The sequence below is a fragment of the Homo sapiens genome, unplaced genomic scaffold (assembly GCF_000001405.40).
Source record: "Homo sapiens unplaced genomic scaffold, GRCh38.p14 Primary Assembly HSCHRUN_RANDOM_124".
In the NCBI taxonomy this organism is placed as follows: Eukaryota; Metazoa; Chordata; class Mammalia; order Primates; family Hominidae; genus Homo; species Homo sapiens.
This window is the reverse complement of record NT_187420.1, coordinates 100467-118954: the sequence shown is the minus strand read 5'-3', so window position 1 is coordinate 118954 and position 18488 is coordinate 100467.

Below are 18488 nucleotides of genomic sequence, written 5' to 3'. Positions count from 1 at the left end.
ACTTTTTAATGATTGCCATTCTAACAGGTGTGTGATGGTATCTCATTGTGGTTTTGATTTGCATTTCTCTGATGGGCAGTGATGATGAGCATTTTTTCATGTGTTTTTTGGCTGCATAAATGTCTTCTTTTGAGAAGTGTCTGTTCATGTCCTTCGCCCACTGTTTGATGGGGTTGTTTGTTTTTTTCTTGTAAATTTGTTTGAGTTCAGTGTAGATTCTGGATATCAGCCCTTTGTCAGATGAGTAGGTTGTGAAAATTTTCTCCCATTTTGTAGGTTGCCTGTTCACTCTGATGGTAGTTTCTTTTGCTGTGCAGAAGCTCTTTAGTTTAATTAGATCCCATTTGTCAATTTTGTCTTTTGTTGCCATTGCTTTTGGTGTTTTAGACTTGAAGTCCTTGCCCATGCCTATGTCCTGAATGGTAATGCCTAGGTTTTCTTCTAGGGTTTTTATGGTTTTAGGTCTAACGTTTAAGTCCTTAATCCATCTTGAATTGATTTTTGTTTAAGGTGGAAGGAAGGGGTCCAGTTTCAGCTTTCTACATATGGCTAGCCAGTTTTCCCAGCAGCATTTATTAAATAGGGAATCCTTTCCCCATTGCTTGTTTTTCTCAGGTTTGTCAAAGATCAGATAGTTGTAGATATGCGGCATTATTTCTGAGGGCTCTTTTCTGTTCCGTTGATCTATATCTCTGTTTTGGTACCAGTACCATGCTGTTTTGGTTACTGTAGCCTTGTAGTATTGTTTGAAGTCAGGTAATGTGATGCCTCCAGCTTTGTTCTTTTGGCTTAGGATTGACTTGGCGATGCGGACTCTTTTTTGGTTCCATATGAACTTTAAAGTAGTTTTTTCCAATTCTGTGAGGAAAGGCATTAGTAGCTTGATGGGGATGGCATTGAATCTGTAAATTACCTTGGGCAGTATGGCCATTTTCACGATATTGATTCTTCCTGCCCATAAGCATGGGATGTTCTTCCATTTGTTTGTATCCTCTTTTATTTCCTTGAGCAGTGGTTTGTATTTCTCCTTGAAGAGGTCCTTCACATCCCTTGTAAGTTGGATTCCTAGGTATTTTATTCTCTTTGAAGCAATTGTGAATGGAGTGAATAGGAGTTCACTCATGATTTGGCTCTCTGTTTGTCCGTTGTTGGTGTATAAGAATGCTTGTGATATTTGTACGTTGATTTTGTATCCTGAGACTTTGCTGAAGTTGCTTATCAGCCTAAGGAGATTTTGGGCTGAGACAATGGGGTTTTCTAGATATACAATCATGTCGTCTGCAAACAGGGACAATTTGACTTCCTCTTTTCCTAATTGAATACCCTTTATTTCCTTCTCCTGTCTAATTGCCCTGGCCAGAGCTTCCAACACTATGTTGAATATGAGTGGTGAGAGAGGGCACCCCTGTCTTGTGCCAGTTTTCAAAGGGAATGCTTCCAGTTTTTGCCCATTCAGTATGATATTGGCTGTGGGTTTGTCATAGATAGCTCTTATTATTTTGAAATACGTCCCATCAATACCTAATTTATTGAGAGTTTTTAGCATGAAGTGTTGTTGAATTTTGTCAAAGGCCTTTTCTGCATCTATTGAGATAATCATGTTGTTTTTGTCTTTGGCTCTGTTTATATACTGGATTACATTTATTGATTTGCGTATATTAAACCAGCCTTGCATCCCAGGGATGAAGCCCACTTGATCATGGTGGATAAGCTTTTTGATGTGCTGCTGGATTTGGTTTGCCAGTATTTTATTGAGGATTTTTGCATCAATGTTCATCAAGGATATTGGTCTAAAATTCTCTTTTTTGGTTGTGTCTCTGCCAGGCTTTGGTATCAGAATGATGCTGGCCTCACAAAATGAGTTAGGGAGGATTCCCTGTTTTTCTATTGATTGGAATAGTTTCAGAAGGAATGGAACCAGTTCCTCCTTGTACCTCTGGTAGAATTCCGCTGTGAATGCGTCTGGTCCTGGACTCTTTTTGGTTGGTAAGCTATTGATTATTGCCACAATTTCAGCTCCTGTTATTGGTCTATTCAGAGATTCAACTTCTTCCTGGTTTAGTCTTGGGAGAGTGTATGTGTCGAGGAATTTATCCATGTCTTCTAGATTTTCTAGTTTATTTGCATAGAGGTGTTTGTAGTATTCTCTGATGGTAGTTTGTATTTCTGTGGGATCAGTGGTGATATCCCCTTTATCATTTTTTATTGCATCTATTTGATTCTTCTCTCTTTTTTTCTTTATTAGTCTTGCTAGCGGTCTATCTATTTTGTTGATCCTTTCAAAAAACCAGCTCCTGGATTCATTAATTTTTGAAGGGTTTTTTGTGTCTCTATTTCCTTCAGTTCTGCTCTGATTTTAGTTATTTCTTGCCTTCTGCTAGCTTTTGAATGTGTTTGCTCTTGCTTTTCTAGTTCTTGTAATTGTGATGTTAGGGTGTCAATTTTGGATCTTTCCTGCTTTCTCTTGTGGGCATTTAGTTCTATAAATTTCCCTCTACACACTGCTTTGAATGCGTCCCAGAGATTCGGGTATGTTGTGTCTTTGTTCTCGTTGGTTTCAAAGAACATCTTTATTTCTGCCTTCATTTCGTTATGTACCCAGTAGTCATTCAGGAGCAGGTTGTTCAGTTTCCATGTAGTTGAGCAGTTTTGAGTGAGATTCTCAATCCTGAGTTGTAGTTTGATTGCACTGTGGTCTGAGAGATAGTTTGTTATAATTTCTGTTCTTTTACATTTGCTGAGGAGAGCTTTACTTCCAAGTATGTGGTCAATTTGGAATAGGTGTGGTGTGGTGCTGAAAAAAATGTATATTCTGTTGATTTGTGGTGGAGAGTTCTGTAGATGTCTTTTAGGTCCGCTTGGTGAAGAGCTGAGTTCAATTCCTGGGTATCCTTGTTGACTTTCTGTCTCGATCTGTCTAATATTGACAGTGGGGTGTTAAAATCTCCCATTATTAATGTGCGAGAGTCTAAGTCTCTTTGTAGGTCACTCAGGACATGCTTTATGAATCTGGGTGCTCCTGTATTGGGTGCATATATATTGAGGATAGTTAGCTCTTCTTGTTGAATTGATCCCTTTACCATTATGTAATGGCTTTCTTTGTCTCTTTTGTTCTTTGTTGGTTTAAAGTCTGTTTTATCAGAGACTAGGATTGCAACCCCTACCTTTTTTTTTTCCCTTTGCTTGGTAGATCTTCCTCCAAGCTTTTATTTTGAGCCTATGTGTGTCTCTGCAGGTGAGATGGGTTCCCTGAATACAGCACACTGATGGGTCTTGACTCCTTATCCAATTTGCCAGTCCGTGTCTTTTAGTTGGAACATTTAGTCCATTTACATTTAAATTTAATATTGTTATGTGTGAATTTGATCCTGTCATGATGATGTTAGCTGGTTATTTTGCTCATTAGTTGATGCAGTTTCTTCCTAGTCTCTATGGTCTTTACATTTTGGCATGATTTTGCAGTGGCTGGTACTGGTTGTTCCTTTCCATGTTTAGCGTTTCATTCAGGAGCTCTTTTAGGGCAGGCCTGGTGGTGACAAAATCTCTCAGCATTTGCTTGTCTGTAAAGGATTTTATTTCTCCTTCACTTATGAAGCTTAGTTTGGCTGGATATGAAATTCTGGGTTGAAAATTCTTTTCTTTAAGAATGTTGAATATTGGCCCCCACTCTCTTCTGGCTTCTAGGGTTTCTGCCAAGAGATCCGCTGTTAGTCTGATGGACTTCCCTTTGAGGGTAACCCGACCTTTCTCTCTGGCTGCCCTTAACGTTTTTTCCTTCATTTCAACTTCGGTGAATCTGAGAATGATGTGTCTTGGAGTTGCTCTTCTCGAGGAGTATCTTTGTGGCGTTCTGTGTATTTCCTGAATCTGAACGTTGGCCTGCCTTGTTAGATTGGGGAAGTTCTCCTGGGTAATATCCTGCAGAGTGTTTTCCAACTTGATTCCATTCTCCCCGTCACTTTCAGGTACACCAATCCGACGTAGATTTGGTCTTTTCACATAGTCCCATATTTCTTGGAGGCTTTGCCCATTTCTTTTTATTCTTTTTTTCTCTAAACTTCCCTTCTCTCTTCATTTCATTCATTTCATCTTCCATTGCTGATACCGTTTCTTCCAGTTGATCGCATCAGCTCCTGAGGCTTCTGCATTCTTCACGTAGTTCTCGAGCCTTGGTTTTCAGCTCCATCAGCTCCTTTAAGCACTTCTCTGTATTGGTTATTCTAGTTACACATTCTTCTAAATTTTTTTCAAACTTTTCAACTTCTTTGCCTTTGGTTTGAATGTTCTCCCATAGCTCAGAGTAATTTGATCGTCTGAAGCCTTCTTCTCTCAGCTCGTCAAAGTCGTTCTCCGTCCAGCTTTGTTCCATTGCTGGTGAGGAACTGCGTTCCTCTGGAGGAGGAGAGGCGCTCTGCTTTTTAGAGTTTCCAGTTTTTCTTTTCTGTTTTTTCCCCATCATTGTGGTTTTATCTACTTTTGGTCTTTGATGATGGTGATGTACAGATGGGTTTTTGGTGTGGATGCCCTTTCTGTTTGTTAGTTTTCCTTCTAACAGACAGGACCCTCAGCAGCAGGTCTGTTGGAGTACCCTGCCGTGTGAGGTGTCAGTGTGCCCCTGCTGGGGCGTGCCTCCCAGTTAGGCTGCTCGGGGGTCAGGGGTCAGGGATCCACTTGAGGAGGCAGTCTGCCCGTTCTCAGATCTCCAGCTGCATACTGGGAGAACCACTGCTCTCTTCAAAGCAGTCAGACAGGGACATATAAGTCTGCAGAGGTTACTGCTGTCTTTTTGTTTGTCTGTGCCCTGCCCCCAGAGGTGGAGCCTACAGAGGCAGGCAGGCCTCCTTGAGCTGTGGTGGGCTCCACCCAGTTCGAGCTTCCCGGCTGCTTTGTTTACCTCAGCAAGCCTGGGCAATGGCGGGCACCCCTCCCCCAGCCTCGCTGCAGCCTTGCAGTTTGATCTCAGACTGCTGTGTTAGCAATCAGTGAGACTCCGTGGGCGTAGGACCCTCCAAACCAGCTGCGGGATATAATCTCATGGTGTGCCATTTTTTAAGTCCATTGGAAAAGCACAGTATTCGGGTGGAAGTGACCCGATTTTCCAGGTGCCGTCTGTCACCCCTTTCTTTGACTAGGAAAGGGAATTCCCTGACCCCTTGTGCTTCCCGAGTGAGGCAATGCCTCACCCTGCTTCGGCTCGTGCATCGTGCATGCACCCACTGACCTGCGCCCACTGCCTGGCATTCCCTAGTGAGATGAACCCGGTACCTCAAATGGAAATGCAGAAATCACCCGTCTTCTGTGTCACTCATGCTGGGAGCTGTAGACTGGAGCTGTTAGTATTCGGCCATCTCGGCTCTCTGTTTAGTATTTATGTGAAGATATTCCCGTTTAAAACGAAGACCTCAAAGCAGTCCAAATACCCACTTGCAGATTCTACGAAAAGAGTGTTTCAAAACTGCTCTATGAAAAGCTGTGTTCAACTCTGTGAGTTGAATGCAAGTATCAGAAAGTTTCTGAGAATGCTTCTGTCTAATGTTTATGTGAAGACATTTACTTCCACCATAGGCCTCAAATCTCTCCAAATGACCACTTGTAGCTTCTGCAAAATGAGTGTTTCAAAACTGATCTATCAAAAGAAAGGTTCAACTCTCTGAGTTGAATACACACATCACAAAGAAGTTTCTGAGAATGCTTCGGTCTAGTTTTTATGTGAAGATATTCCCGTTTACAACAAAAGCCTCAAAGCAGTCCAAATATCCACTTGCAAATTCTACGAAAACAGTGTTTCAAAACTACCCTATGAAAAGGTATCTTCATCTCTGTGAGTTGAATGCAAACAACATGAAGAAGTTTCTGAGAATGCTTCTGTGAAGTTTTTTTCTGAAGATATTTCAGTTTCCACCATAGGCCTCAAAATGCTCCCAATGTCCACTTGCAGATTCTACAAAAAGAATTTTTCAAAGCTGCTGAATCAAAAGAAAGGTTCAACTCTATGAGTTGAATGCACACATCACAAAGAAGTTTCTGAGAATGTTTCTGTCTAGTTTTTATATGAAGATATTCCCGTTTCCAATGAAGGCCTCAAAGTAGTCCAAATATCCACTTGCAGTATTAAGAAAAGAGTGTTTCAAAACTGGTCTATGAAAAGGTATGTTAAATTCTGTGAGTTGAAGACAAACATCACAAAGAAGTTTCTGAGAATGCTTCGGTCTGGGTTTTATGTGAATATATTCCCTTTTCTACCATAGGCCTCGAAGCTCTCCAAATGTCCACTTGCAGATTCTACAAAAAGAGTGTTTCAAAACTGCTCTATCATAAGAAAGTTTCAACTCTGTGAGTTGAAGGCACATATCACAAAGTACTTTCTCAGAATTCTTCTGTCTAGTTTTCATGTGAAGATATTCCCATTTTCAATGAAGGCCTCAAAGCAGTCCAAATATCCACTTGCAGATACCACGAATAGAGTGTTTCAAAACTGCTCTGTGAAAAGGTATGTTCTACTCTGTGAGTTGAATGCAAACATCACAAAAACTTTCTGAGAATGCTTCTGCCTAGATTTTATGTGAAGATATTCCCTTTTCCACCATAGGCCTCAAAGCTCTCCAAATGTCCACTTGCAGATTCTACAAAAAGAGTGTTTCAAAACAGCTGTATCAAAAGAAAGTTTCAATTCTGTGAGTTGAATGCACACATCACAAAGAAGTTTCTGATAATGCTTCTGTCTAGTTTTTATGTGAAGATATTCCCGTTTCCAACGAAGGTCTCAAAGCAATCCAACTATCCACACGCAGATTCTACGAAAAGAGTGTTTCAAAACTGCTCTATGAAAAGGTATGTTCAAATCTGTGAGTTGAATGCACACATCACAAAGAAGTTTCTGAGAATTCTTCTGTCTAATTTTTATGTGAAGATATTCCCGTTTCCAACGAAGGCCTCAAAGCAGTCCAAACATCCACTTGCAGATATAAGAAAATAGTGTTTCAAAACTGCTCTATGAAAAGGTATGTTCAAATCTGTGAGTTGAATGCAAACATCACAAAGAAGTTTCTGAGAATGCTTCTGTGTTGTTTTTCTGTGAATATATTTCCTTTCCCACCATAGGCCTCAAAGCTCTCTAAGTGTTCACTTGCAGATTCTACGAAAAGAGTGTTTCAAAAATGCTCTATGAAAAAATATATTCAACTCTGTGAGGTAAATACAAACACCACAAAGAAGTTTCTGAGAATGCTTCTGTCTATTTTTTATCTGAAGATATTTCATTTTCTACCATAGGCCTCAAAGCTCTCCAAATGTCCACTTGCAGATTCTACAAAAACGATGTTTCAAATCTGCTCTATGAAGAGAAAGGTTAAACTCTGTGAGTTGAATGCACACGTCAGAAAGAAGTTTCTGAGAATCCTTCTGTTTAGTTTGTATGTGTTGGTATTCCCGTTTTCAACGAAGGCCCCAAAGCAGTCCAAATATCCATTTGCACAATCAACGTAAAGAGTGTTTCAAAACTGCTCTATGAAAAGGGATCTTCAACTCTGGGAGTTGAATGAAAACATCACAAAGTAGTTTCTTAGTATGCTACTGTGTAGTTTTTATGTGAAGATATTTCCTTTTTCACCATAGGCCTCAAAGTTTCCAAATGTCCACTTGCAGATACTACAAAAAGAGTGCTTCTAATCTGCTCTATCAAAAGAAAGGTTCAATTCTGTTAGTTGAGTGCACACATCACAAAGAAGTTTCTGAGAATCCTTCTGTCTAGTTTTTATGTGAAGATATTCCCGTTTCCAGCGATGGCCTCAAAACAGTCCAAATATACACTTGCAGATTCATGTAAAAAAGTGTTTCAAAACCGCTCTAAGAAAAGGTATGTTCAAATATGAGAGTTGAATGCAAACACAACAAAGACGTTTCTGAGAATGCTTCTGTCTGATTTTTAGGTGAAGATATTTCCTTTCCACCATTGGCTTCTGCGCTCTCCTAATGTCCACTTGTAGATACTGCAAAGTGAGTGTTTCAAAACTGCTTTATCAAAAAAAGGTTCGACTCTGTGAGTTGAATGCACACATCCCAAAGAAGTTTCTGAGAATGCTTCTTTCTATTTTTTATGTGTAGATATTGATGTTTCCAATGAAGGCCTCAAAGCAGTCCAAATATCCACTTGCAGATTCTATGAAAAGAGTTTTCAAAAGTGCTATATGAAAAGGTATGTTCAACTCTGTGAGTTGAATGCAAACATCACAAAGAAGTTTCTGAGAATGCTTCTGTCTAGTTCATATGAGAAGATATTTTCTTTTCCATCATAGGCCTTAAAGGTCTCCAAATTTCCACTTTCAAATTCTACGAAAATAGTGTTTCAAAACTGCTCTATGAAAAGCTACGTTCAACTATGTGATTTGAATGCACACATCACAAAGAAGTTTCTGAGAATGCTTCTGTCTAGTTTTTATGTGAAGTTACTCCCGTTTCCAAATAAGGCCTCAAAGCACTCCAAATATCCACATGCACAAACTACGAAAAGAGTGCTTCAAAACTGCTCGAAGAAAACTTGTGTTCAAATCGGTGAGTTGAATGAAAACATCATCACAAAGAAGTTTCTCAGTATTCTTCTGTCTAATTTTTTTGTGAAGATATTTCCTTTCCACCATAGGCCTCAATTCTCTCCAAATGTCCACTTGTAGATCCTGGAAAATGAGTGTTTCAAAACTGCTCTATCAAAAGAAAGGTTCAACTCTGTGAGTTGAATGCACACATCACAAAGCAGTTTCTGAGAATGCCTCTGTCTAGTTTTTCTGTGAAGATATTCCCGTTTTGCCTCAAAGCAGTCTAAATATCCACTTGCAGATACTACGAAAAAAGTGTTTCAAAACTGCTCTATGAAAAGGTATGTTCAACTCTGTGAGTTGAATGCAAACATCAAAACAATTTCTGAGAATGCTTCGGTCTACTTTTTATGTGAAGATATTTCATTTTGACCACAGGCCTCAAATCTCTCCAAATGTGCACTTACAGATTCTACAAATTGAGTGTTTCAAAACTGCTCTATCAAAGGAAAGTTTCAACTCTGTGAGTTGAATGCACACATCACAAAGAAGTTTCTGAGCATGCTTCTGTGTAGTTTTTATGTGAAGATATTCCCGTTTCCAACAAAGGTCTCAAAGCAGTCCAAATATCCACTTGCAGATTCTGCTATACGAGTGTTTCAAAACTGCTCTATGAAAAGGTATGTTCAAATCTGTGAGTTGAATGCAAACACCACAAAGAAGTTTCTGAGAATGCTTCTTTCTAGTTCTTATGTGAAGATATTTCCTTTTCTGCCATAGGCCTCAAAGCTTTCTAATTATCCACATGTAGATTCTACAAAATGATTGTTTCAAAAGTGCTCTGTCAAAATAATGGTTCAACTCTGTGAGTTGAATGCACACATCACAAAGAACTTTCTGAGAATGCTTCTGTCTAGTTTTTATGTGAAGATATTGCTGTTTCCAATGAAGGCCTCAAATCAGTCCAAATATCCACTTGCAGAATCTACGTAGGGAGTGTTTCCAAAATGCTCTATGAAAAGGTATGTTCAACTCTGTGAGTTTAATGCAATCATCACAAACATGTTTCTGAGAATTCTTCTGTCTGGTTTTTATGTGAAGATATTTCCTTTTCCATCATAGGCCTCAAAGATCTCCAAATGTCCACTTGCAGTTTCCACAAAAAGAGTGTTTTAAAACTGAAGAAATTTTCAACTCTGTGAGTTGAATGCAGACATCACAAAGTAGTTTCTGAGAATCCTTGTGTCTAGTTTTTATATGAAAATATTTACTTTTCTACCATAGGTCTCAAATTTCTCCAAATATCCACTTGCAGATTCTACAAACAGAGTGTTTCAAAAATGCTCTATGAAAAGAAGGTTCAACTCTGTGAGTTGAATGGACACATCACAAAGTAGTTTCTGAGAATGCTTCTGTCTGGTTTTTATGTATAGGTATTCCTGTTTCCAACAAAGGCCTCAAATCAGACAAAATAACAACTTGCAGAATCTACGAAAAGAGTGTTTCAAAACTGCTCTAGGTAAAGGTATGTTCAACGCTGTGTGTTGAATGGAAACACCACAAAGAAATTTCTGAGAATGCTTCTGTCTAGTTTTTATGTGAAGATGTTCCCTTTTCCACCATAGGCCTCAAAGCTCTCCCAATGTCCACCTGCAGATTCTACAAAAACAGTGTTTCAAAACTGCTCTATCAAAAGAAAGGTTCAAATCTGTAAGTTGAATGCAGACATAACAAAGAAGTTGCAGAGAATGCTTCTGTCTAGTTTTTATGTGTAGATATTCCCCTTTCCAACGAAGGCCTCAAAGCAGTCCAAATATCCACTTGCAGATCCTACGAAAAGAGTGTTTCAAAACTGCTCTATGAAAACTTATGTTCAACTCTGTGAGGTGAATGCAAACAACTCAAAGAAGTTTCTGAGACTGCTTCTGTCTGGTTTTTATGTGAAGGTATTTCCTTTTCCACCGTAGGCCTCAAAGCTTTCAAAGTGTCCACTTGCAGATTTTACAAAGAGTGTCTAAAACTGCTCTATCAAAAGAAAGGTTCAACTCTTTGAGTAGAATGCACACATCACAAAGAAGTTTCTCAGAATGCCTCTGTCTAGTTTTCATGTGAAGATATTCCCATTTCCTATGAAGGCCTCTAAGCTTTCCAAATATCCACTTGCGGATTCTACCAAAAGAGTGTTTCAAAACTTCTCTATGAAAAGGTATGTTAAACTCTATTAGTTGAATGCAGACATCACAAAGAAGTTTCTGAGAATGCTTCTGTCTAGTTTTTATGTGAAGATATTTCCTTTTCCACCATAGGCCTCAAAGATCTCCAAATGTCCACGTGCAGATTCTACGAAAATAGTGTTTCAAAACTGCTCTATGGAAGGTTATTTTCAACTCTATGAGTTAATGTAAATATCACAAAGATGTTTCTGAGAATGCTTCTGTCCAGTTTTTATGTGAAGATATTTCTTTTTCCACTGTAGGCCTCAAAGCTCTCCAAATGTCCACTTGCAGATTCTACAAAAAGAATGTTTCAAACTGCTCCTTCAAAAGAGTGGTTCAGCTCTGTGAGTTGAATGGCCTCATCACAAAGAAGTTTCTGAGAATGCTTCTGTCTAGTTTTTATGTTAAGATATTTCCGTTTCCACCGAAGGCCTCAAAGCAGTCCAAATATCCCCTTGGAAATACTATGAAAAGAGTTTTTCAAAACTGTGCTGTGAAAAGGTATGTTCATCTCTGTGAGTTGAATGCAAACAACACAAAGAAGTTTCTGAAAATGCTTCTGTCTGGTTTTTATGTGAAGGTATATCATTTTCCACCATAGGCCTCAAAGCTTCCCAAATATCCACTGGCAGATTCTACGAAGAGTGTTTCAAAACTGCTCTATGAAAAGGGACGTTCAACTCTGTGAGTTGAATGCAAACATCACAGCAGAGATTCTGAAAATTCTTCTGTCCTGTTTTTATGTGAAGATATTTCCTTTTCCACCATAGGCCTCAAAGCTCTCCAAATGACCACTTGCAGATGTTACAAAAACAGTGTTTCAAAACTGCCCTATCAAAATAAAGGTTAACACAGTGAGTTGAATGCAATCATCACAAAGTAGTTGCTGAGAATGCTTCTGTCTCGTTTTTATGTGAAGATATTCTCGTTTACAATGAAGGCCTCAAAGCAGTCCAAATATACACTTGCAGATTCTACGAAAAGAGTGTTTCAAAACTGCTCTATGAAAAGGTATGTTCAACTCTCTTCGTTGAATGCAAACATCACAAAGAAGTTTCTGAGAATTCTTCTATCTAGTTTTTATGTGAGGCTATTTCCTTTTCCACCGTAGGCCTCAAAGCTCTCCAAATGTCCACTTGCAGATTGTACAAAGTAAGTGCTTCAAAACTGCTCTATCAAAAGAAAGGTTCAAATCTCTGAGTTGAATGCCCACATCAAAAAAGGTGTTTCTGAGAATGCTTCTGTCTAGTTTTTATGTGAAGATATTCCCGTTTCCAACGAAGTCCTTAAAGCAGTCCAAATATCCAATTGCAGATTAAACGAAAAGGGTGTTTCAAAACTGCTCTATGAAAAGGTATGTTCATCTCTGTGTTGGTTGAATGCAAACATCACAAAGAACGTTCTGAGAATGCTTCTGTTTCGTTTTTATGTGAAGATTTTCCCATTTCCAACGAAGGCCTCAAAGCCGTCCAAATATCCATTTGCAGATTCTACGAAAAGTGTGTTTCAAAACTTCTCTATGAAAAGGTATGTTTAATTCTGTGAGTTGAATGCAACCATCACAAAGAAGTTTCTGAGAATCCTCCTGTCTAATTTTTATGTGAAGATATTCCCTTTTCCAACCAAGGCCTTAAAGCAGTCCAAATATCCACTTGCAGATTCTACGAAAAGAATGTCTCAAATCTGCTCTATGAAAAGGTACTTTCAACTCTGTGAGTTGAATGCACACATCACAAAGAAGTTTCTGAGAATGCTTCTGTCTTGTTTTTATGTGAAGCTATTTCCTTTCACCATAGGCCTTAAAGCTCTCCAAATATCCAATGCAGATTCTAGAAAATGAGTGATTCAAAACTGCTCTATCAAAAGAAAGGTTCAACTCTGTGAGTTGAATTCACACATCACAAAGAAGTTTCTGAGAATGCTTCCATCTAGTTTTCATGTGAAGATATTCCTCTTTCCAACGAAGGCCTCAAAGCAGTCCAAATATCCATTTGCAGATCCTACAAAAAGAGTGTTTCAAAACTGCTCTATGAAAAGGTATGTTCAACTCTGTGAGTTGAATGCAAACGTCACAAACAAGTTTCTGAGAATGCTTCTGTCTAGTTTTTATGTGAAGATATTTCCTTCTCCACCACAGGCCTCGAAGCTCTGAAAATTTCCACATGCAGATTCTAAAAAAACAGTGCTTCAAAACAGCTCTATCAAAAGAAAGGTTCAGCTCCGTGAGTTGAATGCACACATCACAAAGAAGGTTCTGAGAATGCTTCTCTCTAGTTTTTATGTGAAGATATTCCCGTTTACAAAGAAAGCCTCAAAGCACTCCATATATCCACTTGCAGATTCTACAAAAAGAGTGTTTCAAAACTGCTCTATGAAAAGGTATGTTCAACTCTGTGGGTTGAATGCAAACAATATAAAGAAGTTTTGAGAATGCTTCCGTCTGGTTTTTATGTGAAGGTATTTCCTTTTCCACCACAGGCCTCAAAGCTTTCCAAATGTCCACTTGCAGATTCTACAAAAAGAGTGTTTAAAAACTGCTCTATCAAAAGAAAGATTCAACTCTTTGTGTTGAATGTGCAGATCACAAAGAAGTTTCTGAGAATGCTTCTGTCTAGTTTTTATGTGAAGATATTCCCGTTTCCAACGAAGGCCTCAAAGAAGTGCAAATATCCACTTTGCAGATTTTGCGAAAAGAGTGTTTCCAAACTGCTCTATCAAAAGAAAGGTTCAACTCTGTGAGTTGAATGCACACATCACAAAGAAATTTCCCAGAATTCCTCTGTCTAGTTCTTATGTGAAGATATTCCCGTTTAAAACGAAGGCCTCAAAGCAGTCCAAATATCCACTTGCAGATTCTACGAAACGAGTGTTTCAAAACTGCTCTATGACAAGGTATGTTCAAATCTGTGAGTTGAATGCACACATTACAAAGAACTTTCTGAGAATGCATCTCTCTAGTTTTTATGTAGAGATATTCCTGTTTCCAAAGAAAACCTAAAAGCAGTCCAAATATCCACTTGCAGATTCTACGAAAAGAGTGTTTCAAAACTGCTCTATGAAAACTTATGTTCAACTCTGTGAGGTGAATGCAAACAACTCAAAGAAGTTTCTGAGACTGCTTCTGTCTGGTTTTTATGTGAAGGTATTTCCTTTTCCACCATAGGCCTCAAAGCTTTCAAAGTGTCCACTTGCAGATTTTACAAAGAGTGTCTAAAACTGCTCTATCAAAAGAAAGGTTCAACTCTTTGAGTAGAATGCACACATCACAAAGAAGTTTCTGAGAATGCTTTTGTCTAGTTTTTATTTGAAGATATTCACATTTCCAACGAAGGCCTGAAAGCGTTCCAATTATCCATTTGCATATTCTACCAAAAGAGTTTTCCAAAACTGCTCTATGAAAAGGTATGTCCATCTCTGTGAGTTGAATGCAAACATAACAAAGTAGGTACTGAGAATGTTTCTGTCTAGTTTTCATGGGAAGATAATTCCATTTCCACCATATGCTTCAAAGGTCTCCAAATGTCCACTTGCAGATTCTATAAAAACAGTGTTTCAAAACTGCTCTATCAAAAGAAAGGCTCAACTCTCTGAGTTGAATGCCCACATCACAAAGGTGTTTCTGAGAATGCTTCTGTCTAGTTTTTATGTGAAGATATTCCCGTTTCCAATGAAGTCCTTAAAGCAGTCCTAATATTCACTTGCAGATTCTACAAAAAGAGTGTTTCAAAACTGCTCTACGAAAAGTTATTTTCAACTCTGTGAGTTGAATGCAAATATCACAAAGATGTTTTTGAGAATGCTTCTGTCCAGTTTTTATGTGAAGATATTTCCTTTTCCACTGTAGGCCTCAAAGCTCTCTTTGCTTTGCACTTGAAGATTCTACCAAAAGAATGTTTCAAACTGCTCCTTCAAAGAGTGGTTCAGCTCTGTGAGTTGAATGGCCTCATCACAAAGAAGTTTCTGAGAATGCTTCTGTCTAATTGTTATGTTAAGATATTTCTGTTTCCACTGAAGGCCTCAAAGCAGTCCAAATATCCCCTTGCAGATACTACGAAAAGAGTTTTTCAAAACTGTGCTATGAAAAGGTATTTCATCTCTGTGAGTTAAATGCAAACATCACAAAGAAGTTTCTGAAAATGCTTCTGTCTTGTTTTTATGTGAAGGTATATCATTTTCCACCATAGGCCTCAAAGCTTCCCAAATGTCCACTTGCAGATACTACCAAAACTGTGTTTCAAAACTGCTCTATCAAAAAAAAGTTCAACTCTCTGAGTTGAATGCACACATCACAAAGAAGTTTCTGAGAATTCTTCTTTCTAGATTTTATGTGAAGATATTCCCGTTTCCAACAAAGGCTTCAAATCAGTCCAAATATCCACTTGTGGATTCTACGAAAAGAGTGTTTCAAAACTGCTCTACGAAAAGGTATGTTCAACTCTGTGAGTTGAATCCAAACATCACAGAGGAGATTCTGAGAATGCTTCTGTCCAGTTTTTATGTGGAGATATTTCCTTTTCCACCATAGGCCTCAAAGCTCTCCAAATGACCACTTGCAGATGCTACAAAAACAGTGTTTCAAAACTGTTCTATCAAAATAAAGGTTAACACTGTGAGTTGAATGCAATCATCACAAAGTAGTTGCTGAGAATGCTTCTGTCTCGTTTTTATGTGAAGATATTCTCGTTTACAATGAAGGCCTCAAAGCAGTCCAAATATACACTTGCAGATTCTACGAAAAGAGTGTTTCAAAACTGCTCTATGAAAAGGTATGTTCAACTCTCTTCGTTGAATGCAAACATCACAAAGAAGTTTCTGAGAATTCTTCTATCTAGTTTTTATGTGAGGCTATTTCCTTTTCCACCGTAGGCCTCAAAGCTCTCCAAATGTCCACTTGCAGATTGTACAAAGTAAGTGCTTCAAAACTGCTCTATCAAAAGAAAGGTTCAAATCTCTGAGTTGAATGCCCACATCAAAAAAGGTGTTTCTGAGAATGCTTCTGTCTAGTTTTTATGTGAAGATATTCCCGTTTCCAACGAAGTCCTTAAAGCAGTCCAAATATCCAATTGCAGATTAAACGAAAAGGGTGTTTCAAAACTGCTCTATGAAAAGGTATGTTCATCTCTGTGTTGGTTGAATGCAAACATCACAAAGAACGTTCTGAGAATGCTTCTGTTTCGTTTTTATGTGAAGATTTTCCCATTTCCAACGAAGGCCTCAAAGCCGTCCAAATATCCATTTGCAGATTCTACGAAAAGTGTGTTTCAAAACTTCTCTATGAAAAGGTATGTTTAATTCTGTGAGTTGAATGCAACCATCACAAAGAAGTTTCTGAGAATCCTCCTGTCTAATTTTTATGTGAAGATATTCCCTTTTCCAACCAAGCCTTAAAGCAGTCCAAATATCCACTTGCAGATTCTACGAAAAGAATGTCTCAAATCTGCTCTATGAAAAGGTACTTTCAACTCTGTGAGTTGAATGCACACATCACAAAGAAGTTTCTGAGAATGCTTATGTCTAGTTTTTATGTGAAGATATTCCCATTTCCATCGAAGGCCTCAAAGCTGTCCAAATATACACTTGCAGATTCCACGAAAAGAGTGTTTCAAATCTGAGATATGACAACGTATGTTCAACTCTTTGTGTTGAATGTAAACATCACAAAGAGGTTTCTAAGAATGCTTCTGTCTAGCTTTTATGTGAAAATATTTCCTTTTCCACCTTAGGCCTCAAATCTTTCCAAATGTCCACTTGCAGATTCTACTAAAAGGGTGTTTCAAAACTTCTCTACCAAAAGAAAGGTTCAACTCTGTGAGTGGAATGCACACATCACAAATAAGTTTCTGAGAATGCTTCTGTCTCATTTTTAAGTGAAGATATTCCCGTTTCCAACGAAATCCTCAAGGCAGTCCAAATATCCACTTGCAGATTCTACAAAAAGAGTGTTTCAAAACTGCTCTGTGAAAAGATATGTTCAACTCTGTGAGTTGAGTGGAAATATCACAAAGAAGTTTCTGAGAATGCTTCTGTCTAGTTTTTATGTGAAGATATTTCCTTTTCCAATGTAGGCCTCAAAGCTTTCCAAATGTCCACTTACAGATTCTGCAAAAGAGTGTTTCAAATCTACTCTCTCAAAAGAAAACTTCAACTCTGTGAGTTGAAGGCACACATCACAAAGCAGTTTTTGAGAAAGTTTCGGTCTAGTTTTTATGTGAAGATATTCCCGTTTCCAATGAAGGCCTAAAATTAGTCCAAATATCCAATTGTAGATGCTACGAAAAGAGTATTTCAAAACTGCTTTGTGAAAAAGTATGTTCAACTCTGAGAGTTGAATGCCAACATCACAATCAAATTTCTGAGAATGCTTCTGTCCAGTTTTCATGTGAAGATATTTCCTTTTCCACCATAGGCCTCAAAGATCTCCAAATGTCCACTTGCAGATTCTACAAAAAGAGGGTTTCAAAACTGCTCTATCAAAGAAAGGTTCAACTCTGTGAGTTGAATTCACACATCAAAAAGCAGTTCCTCAGAATGCTTCTGTGTTGTTTTTATGTGAAGGTATTTCGTTTTTCACCATAGGCCTCAAAACGCTACAAATGTCCACTTGCAGTTTCCACAGAAAGAATGAATCAAAACTGCTCTATCAAAAGAACGGTTCAACTCTGTGAGTTGAATGCACACATCACAAAGAAGATTCTGAGAATGTTTCTGTCTAGTTCTTGTGAAGATATCCCTTTTCCATCGAAGGCCTCAAAGCGGTCCAATTATACACTTGCAAATTCTACAAAAAGAGTGTTTCAAAACTGGTCTATGAAAAGGAATTTTCAATTTTGTGAGTTGAGTGCACACATCACAAAGAAGTTTCTGAGAATACTTCTGTGTTGTTTTTAGGTGAAGATATTTCCTTTTTCACCACAGGCCACAAAGCGCTCCAAATATCCACTTGTAGATTGTACAAAAAAAGTGTTTCAAAACTGCTCTATCAAAAAAAAGGTTCAACTCTCTGAGTTGAGTGCATCCATCCCAAAGAAGTTTCTGAGAATGCTTCTGTCTAGTTTTTATGTGAAGATATTTCCTTTTTCACCATAGGCCTCAAAGCATTACAAATGTCCAATTGCAGATACTACAAAAAGAGTGTTTCAAAGCTGCTCTATCAATAGAAAGGTTCAACTGTGAGAGTTGAATGCACACATCACAAAGAAGTTTCTGAGAATGTTTCTGTCAAGTTTTCGTGAAGATATCCCGTTTCCAACGAAGTTCTCAAAGCGGTCCAAATATCCACTTGCAAATTCTACAAAAAGAGTGTTTCAAAATTGCTCTATGAAAAGGAATGTTCCACTCTGTGAGTTGAAAGGAAACAACACAAAGAAGTTTCTGAGAATGCTTCTGTGTAGTTTTTATGTGAAGATATTTCCTTTTTCACCATTGGCCTCAAAGCCCTCCAAAAGTCCAGTTGCAGATTCTACAAAAAGGTAGTTTCAAAACTGCTCTATCAAAGGAAAGGTTCAACTCTGTGGGTTGAATGCACACATTACAAAGAAGTTTCTGAGAATGCTTCTGTCTAGTTTTTATGTGAAGATACTTCGTTTTTCACCATAGGCTTCAAAGCGCCCCAAATGTCCACTTGCAGGTTCTACAAAAAGAGTGCTTCAAATCTGCTCTATCAAAAGAAAGTTTCAACTCTCTGAGTTGAATGCACACATCACAAAATTATCTGAGAATGCTTCTGTGAAGTATTTATGGG